The 7,022-nt window shown below is 48.5% G+C and overlaps 1 annotated feature.

Moving 5' to 3' along the window:
• Positions 4,124-4,303: a silencer, noted in NCBI's record as "fragment chr7:101349551-101349730 (GRCh37/hg19 assembly coordinates)". NCBI's record gives its function as "represses an EF-1alpha promoter that drives an FKBP-Casp9 reporter gene in an ReSE screen in K562 erythroleukemia cells {active_cell/tissue: K562}" and the evidence as "EXISTENCE:reporter gene assay evidence [ECO:0000049][PMID:32094911]".

Below are 7,022 nucleotides of genomic sequence, written 5' to 3' on the forward strand. Positions count from 1 at the left end.
GATAGGCAGGAGAATCGCTTGAACCCGGGAGGCGGAGGTTGCAGGAAGCTGAGATCGCGCCGTTGCATTTCAGCCTGGGCGACAGAGCAAGACTCTGTCTCAAAAAAATAAAAATAAAAATAAAAATAAATAAAAAAACAAAGTCCTCTTTCCCAGGGTGAGGAGGCACAGCCTGGGGGAGAGGGAGGGAGTTAGCATGGAGCCCATGGGAGGGGGCAGCAAGACTGAGGGATGGGGGGCAACGGAGGAGAGACATCTAGCGCCAAGTCCCAAGAGGGGACTCGGGAAATGTCCAGGGATTGATTGACACTTTACAAGACTCAAACACGTTGCACGTGGCACTCCCCAGATTATTGCCCTATAAATGAGTATGCAGCACGTTGACTGCTTCATGACCGGGAGGAATCCAGCCCGACACAAGTAAACAGACGACTGCAGTACCGCCCAATAACGCTAATAGGTGCTTTGAGAGAAGTGAGTTCAGGGTTCGCTTTCCAAGCTCAGGGTTAGTGACTGGCTTGCTGGGCAAATTACTCACTCTGCCTGGGGGCAAGGAGATGTCCAGGAAGGCTTCCTGGAGGAGGGGACAACTCAGCTAATAACCTTTAAGAGCACCAGGAGTGCAATTCTCTTGTTGGCAAGAGAGTGATTAATACCGGAGGTGGGTCCACTGTGTGGAGGAGAGAGTGGAGGGACAGTGAGAGAGGAGAAAAAGTTAGGGACAAGCTCAGAATCTCTTGGAGCTAGAGCGTTTTTTCTTTTCTTTTCTTTTTTCTTTTTTTTTTTTTTTTGCCCGACCGCGGCTCACTGCAATCTCCGCCTCCCAGGTTCAAGCAATTCTCCGGCTTTAGCCTCCTGAGTAGCTGGGATTACAGACCCATGCCACCATGCCGGGCTAATTTTTGTATTTTTAGTAGAGATGGGGTTTCACCATGTTGGCCAGGCTGGTCTCCAACTCCTGACCTCGTGATCCGCCCCCCTCGGCCTCCCAAAGTGCTGGGATTACAGGCGTAAACCACCATGCCCAGCTGGGAGCAAGAGTTTTATCTTGAAAAATACATGCAACTTTCCCATCCTGCTCCGTAATACAGTGTTGGTTTTTGTTTTGGGTTTTTTTTTTTTTTTTGAGAAAGGGTCTCCCTCTGTCTCCTAGGCTGGAGAACAGTGGCACCAGCATGGTTCACTGCAGCCTCAACCTCCCAGGCTCAGGCAATCCTCCCACCTCAGCCTCCCGTGTAGCTGGGACCATAGGTGCACACCACCACCCATCACGCCAGGCTAATTTTTAATTTTTTTGTAGAGATAGAGTCTTACCAGGTTGCCAAGGCCGGTCTCGAACTCCTGGGCTCAAGTGATTCTCCTGCCTCAGCCTCTCAAAGTGCTGGGATTACAGGCATGAGCCACCACGCCCAATCAGCGTTGGTTTTCATGTAAAAACAAGTTTTCTTTTTTTTTTTCTTTCTTTTTTTTTTTTTGAGACATAGTCGCTCTGTCACCCAGGCTGGACTGCAATGACTGCAATGGCTCACTGCAACCTCCGCCTCCTGGGTTCAAGCAATTCTCCTGCCTCAGCCGCCTGAGTAGCTGGGATTACAGGCATGCGCCACCACACCTGGCTAATTTTCACATTTTTAGTAGAGACAGGGTTTCACCATGTTGGCCAGGCTGGTCTCAAACTCCTAACCTCAGGTGATCCACCCGCCTCAGCCTCCCAAAGTGCTGGGATTACAGGCGTGAGCCATTGCACCTGGCCTAAAAACAAGTTTCCTAATTACTTACCACATATGAGTAGACAGGTCAATGGAACAGGAAACAAAGCCCCAAAATGTACACCAAAACATAGTGGAATTTAGCATATGATAAAGAGGGCCTTACATCAGTGAGGTAAGCATGGGCTTTTTAATAAATGGTGTTGGTAAAACCAGGAAACCACCTGGAAACAAATAAAACTGAATCTGTTCGCCAGAACACAAAAACAAATTCCAAATGGGCCCAAGATTTAGATGTAAACATTAAAATCATAAGAGAACCAGAAGAAATATGAATGAATCCCTTTATAACTTTGGATTGGGGACCATCTTCCAATGACTTAAAATCCAAAACCAAGGAGGGGGAATAGTGAGCATTTAAGTTGATGATGATGATGATAATGATGATGATAATAATAATAATAATAATAATAATGGGGCCAGGCACGGTGGCTCATGCCTGTAATCTCAGCACTTTGGGAGGCTGAGGGAGATGGATAACCTGAGGTCAGGAGTTCAAGACCAGCCTGGCCAACATGGCGAAACCCCGTCTCTACTAAAATTACAAAAAAATTAGCCAGGTGTGGTGACATGTGCCTGTAATCCCAGCTACTCAGGAGGCTGAGGCAGGAGAATTGCTTGAACCTGGGAGGCAGAGGTTGTAGTGAGCTGAGATCATGCCACTGCACTCCAGCTTGGGCAACGAGAGCAAAACTCTGTCTCAAAAAATTAATTTAATTAATTAATTAATAACAATAATGAACAACTTCTACATGACAAAGAACATCATATGCAAAGTAAGTCAAAAGATAAACAGGGAGAAAATATTTGCAACTCATATTACAGCCAAGGGGCTGCTCTCCCTAATATGTAAAAAGTTCTTACAAAAAAAGAGAAAAAACACCAAAAATCTGGTGGAAAAATGGGCAAAGGATTTGAACAGAGCATTCCAGAGAAAAGAAATATAAGTGGGCTTTAAACATATGAAAATGCTCAACCTTATTCACATTAAGAGAAAAATGGGCCTCGGTGGTGGCTCACACCTGTAATACCAGCACTTTGGGAGGTTAAAACAGGAGGATCACTTAAGCCCAGAAGTTTGAGATCAGCCTGGGTAAAAATCTCATCTCTACAAATATTTTTTTTTTAAAAGTGAGCCAACATGGTGGCACATGCCTGTAGTCCCAGCTACTCAGGAGGCTGAGGCAGGAGGTTTGCTTGAGCCCAGAAGGTAGAGGTTGCAGTGAGGTGAGGTTGGGCCACTGTACTCCAGCCTGGGCAACAGAGTGAGACCTGTCTCAAAAAAAGAAAAGAGCGAGAGAAATGAATTATACACCACACCAGAATACCATTTCTTACCTATCAGATAGGCCAAAATCCAAAATTATGCCAACACGGTCCAAGGATGAGGCTATTGTGTAGGCAAACAGGCCGTCTGGTATGTTGCTGGTGGGAATGCAAAATGATACAACCCCCAGTGGCAAGTGGTTTAGTAATTCTTATCAAAGTTACGGATGCATTCACCCTATGGCCTGTCAGTCCCACTTCTGGGAATTTGTTCAACAGTGCCACCTTGAACATGTAAGAAATGATGTACATATAAGCTTAATCATCGCAGCTGCGTGTAACAGCAGAAAGCTGGCAGCAATCCAGTTGTTTCACACATTATGCAAAAAGACAGTGAAATAAATCATGGTACATCCACACAATGAAATACTATGAAGCTGTTGAAAAAGGAGGAGGAGGAGAAAGAGGAAGAGGAGGTGGGAGAGGGGAAGAAGAGGAGGTGGGAGAGGGGAAGAAGAGGAGGAAGAGGAGAAAGCTCTCTATACCCTGACGTGGAAAGATCTCCCAGATAGAATATTGGGTAAAAACACAAGGAGTAGAACACCATAGGCTGGTGGGGTGTCTCATGCCTGTAATCCCAGCACTTTGGGAGGCTGAGGCAGGAGGAGCGCTTGAGCCCAGGAGTTCGAGACCAGCCTGGGCAACATAGCGAGACCTCGTCTCTGCAACAAATCTTTTAAATTAACTGGCATGGTGGCTCACACCTGTAGTCCCAACTACTTGGGAAGCTGATGTGGAAGGATTGCTTGAGGCTGGAAGGTCAAGGCTGCAGTGAGCCGTGATCATGGAACTGCACTCCAGCCTGGGTGACAGAGCAAGGTGCTGTCTCAAAAAAAATAAAAATAGGCTGGGTGCAGTGACTCACACCTGTAATCCCAGCACTTAGGGAGGCTGAGGCAGGTGGATCACCTGAGGTCAGGAGTTCGAGACCAGCCTGGCCAATATGGTGAAACCCTGTCTCTACTAAAAATACAAAAATTAGCTGAGCATGATGGTGGGCACCTGTAATCCCATCTACAGGGAAGGCTGAAGCAGGAAAATCACTTGAACCTGGGAGGCGAAGGTTGCAGTGAGTTGAGATTGTGCCACTGCAGTCCAGCCTGAGTGGCAGATTGGGACTGGGTCCCAAAAAATAAAAATAAAAATAAATAAAAAGAACAGCATCTATGTCAGCAAATACAGATTGCTTTATGCATTTGCATAAAGAAATACTAGAAGGATACACAAGAAACTAATTGTTCCTCTAGGGATCAGGGGGATGAGATCCCTGGGACATGGATAGTGGGACTTGTGATCAATGCCTTTTCATAGCAGTTTGGACGTCAAACCGTGTGAACATGTTACATATCCACACTTTTGTAATGATATTAACATAAACAACTTACCAAGAAAGTAAACATCGATATTTATCAGGTATAGGTCTGGTGGTTTGTTCATCCCTGAATACCAAGTCCTAGATCCATGGGAACTTGCCCCCCATTTTGGGGGAAACAGCAATGGGGAGCCATTGAAAGTCTCTGAGCAGGGCAGGCACATGGTGAACCCAAGAAAGCCCATAGCCCTGCAGCCAGTGCTCAGGGCCAATGGACAGCTGCAGGGCCAGGGGACCTATGGCTGCGGCAATAGGGGCAGCTTTGGATGAAAGCGGAACTTCCTTGGGGGCTCAAGTCCCCATGCACCCCCGTATCCAATGTCCAAGCTGCCCTGGAAGCAGCTTATCGCTCAGCTCTTGCCTTCTGCTTCCTACATAGGGAGGAGATTTCTACGATCGGGAGAGAGTCGGCACCCGACAGGGCTCAAGGAAGTCCACAAGAGCCGGTTTCCAAGACCTGGGGCTCGGGCTGGGCTGGCTGAGCCCAGGCCCCTCAACCATGGCAAGTTGCTGAGAAGCCCTGCATGGCAGCTCTGATACCCAATGGGGACCTAGTGGGTGTCCCTCTTCTCCCTTTCAAAATGAAGACATCCTTCCAGCTGCAGCTCAGGTATAAGTGAAGACAGAGGGACTCTTAGGATCACTCTCCACACCCCACCTCCTTCAGGAAGCCTTCCTGGGCCATCAGGACGGTGGAACACCTCTTCAGCCTCCGTCTCCTGGACCAAAACTTGCCCTGCTGCCCTCTCCGAGTCCTCCGTCCAGGGCTGCGACCCTTGATCCTGACTTCACACCACCCCATGACCAGCCCCCCAGCACTGGCATGCTAGTCCTTCATCTGCAGCTCCCAGCCCCTCACCTTTCCTGCCCCTGTGTGGGAGCTTGTCCATACAAATATTTTGCAAACTGTAAAGGGCTGCGTACCGACAAACACTTTGCAAACTGTAAAGGGCTGTGCACTGACAAGCACTTTGCAAACTGTAAAGGACTGTGCACCCACAAGCACTTTGCAAATGCTAAAGGGCCATGTACCGGCAATGTCTCCTGAGGTTAGGAGGAGAGGGAGGGAGAGGAGAAAGCCTCTGACTGTGGTTCTCCACCACAGGCCTGGGTTTTACTGCCCTCATGAAATGCTGTGTTTGCTCGGCACCCCACCCGGTGGCTTGTACACACCTGTACGCGGAAAGCTGTAATTTTGCAGCATTAATCACAGGTAGGATCACACCCAAGTTCCTGGCACTCCACTCCCCAGGGAGGGCTGGCCAGGCCGTCGCCTTTGTGTTCCAATTATGCTGTCTTTTATTGCTTTTTTTTTTCTTTTTTTCTTTTATTTTTTTGAGATGGAGTCTCACTTTGTCGCCCAGGCTGGAGTGCAGTGGCGCGATCTCAGCTCACTGCAACCTCAAGTGATTCTCCTGCCTCATTACAGCTGCCCACCAACATGCCAGGCTAATTTTTGTATTTTTGTAGAGATGGGGTTTCACCATGTTGGCCAGGCTGATCTCGAACTCCTGACCTCAGGTGATCCGCCCGCCTCCCAAAGTGCCGGCATTACAGGCATGAGCCACCATGCCCAGCCTTATTGCTCTTTTAACGATAACAGAAACACTTAAAGAGGCAGGGTCCGAGGGTGAAAAATGACACGCAAAAAAAGCCACTGCACTTGGTGCCTAGAGGAAGTTCTGTGTCTGGACAGAGCGCTCCCCATAGGCGGGTGTGAAGAGGCTGTGTGAGGTAGTGGCTAGCACATGTGCTCTGGCATCCTACAGGCCTGAGTTCAAATTGTGGTTCTCGTGCCAACCAGCTGTGTGACCCCAGGCAAGTGACTTGCCCTCTCTGAGCCTCCATTTCCTAATCTCTAGAACGGTATATTGAAGACAAAGGACTGAAATGACCGTGGGGAGAGGCTGCTACTTAGTAGACCTTTGTCAATGCCAAGTCCTCCCAGGTCCTCCCATAGCTAGTGCTGTCTGTTTCTCCCACCAATTCATGTCATTTCCTACAGGTGTTCACTCACTGCTATGCACGCGGTAGGCACGCAGGGTGGCCGAAAGAGCGTGGGCTTTGGAGTTGATTTTTCTTTTCTCTTTCTTTTCTTTTCTCTTTTCTTTTCTTTTTTTCTTTTCTTTCGGAGTCTTGCTCTGTCACCCAGGCTAGAGCACAATAGTGTGATCTCGACTCACTGCAAACTCCGCCTCCCAGGTTCAGGTGATTCTCCTACCTCAGCCTCCTGAGTGGCTGGGATTACAGGTGCCTGCCACCACGCCCAGCTAATTTTTGTATTTTTAGTGAAGACAAGGTTTCACCATGTTGGCCAGGCTGGTCTCAAACTCCTGACCTCAGGTGATCCACCCACCTCAGCCTCCCAAAGTGTTGGGATTACAGGCATGAGCCACCACACCTGGAGATTTTTCATCTATTCAGTAAATATTAACTTCCTGTGGCCAGGGTGCTGGGGATCTGGCCCCACACAGACGGTGTAGGAAGGTGTCCCTTGGCCCATGCCTTCCTGATGCTGTGCCCTGGGTTGGGAGAGGAGTGAGGCAGGTGCAGGA

The sequence above is a fragment of the Homo sapiens genome, chromosome 7, assembly GCF_000001405.40.
Source record: "Homo sapiens chromosome 7, GRCh38.p14 Primary Assembly".
Classification (NCBI taxonomy): Eukaryota; Metazoa; Chordata; class Mammalia; order Primates; family Hominidae; genus Homo; species Homo sapiens.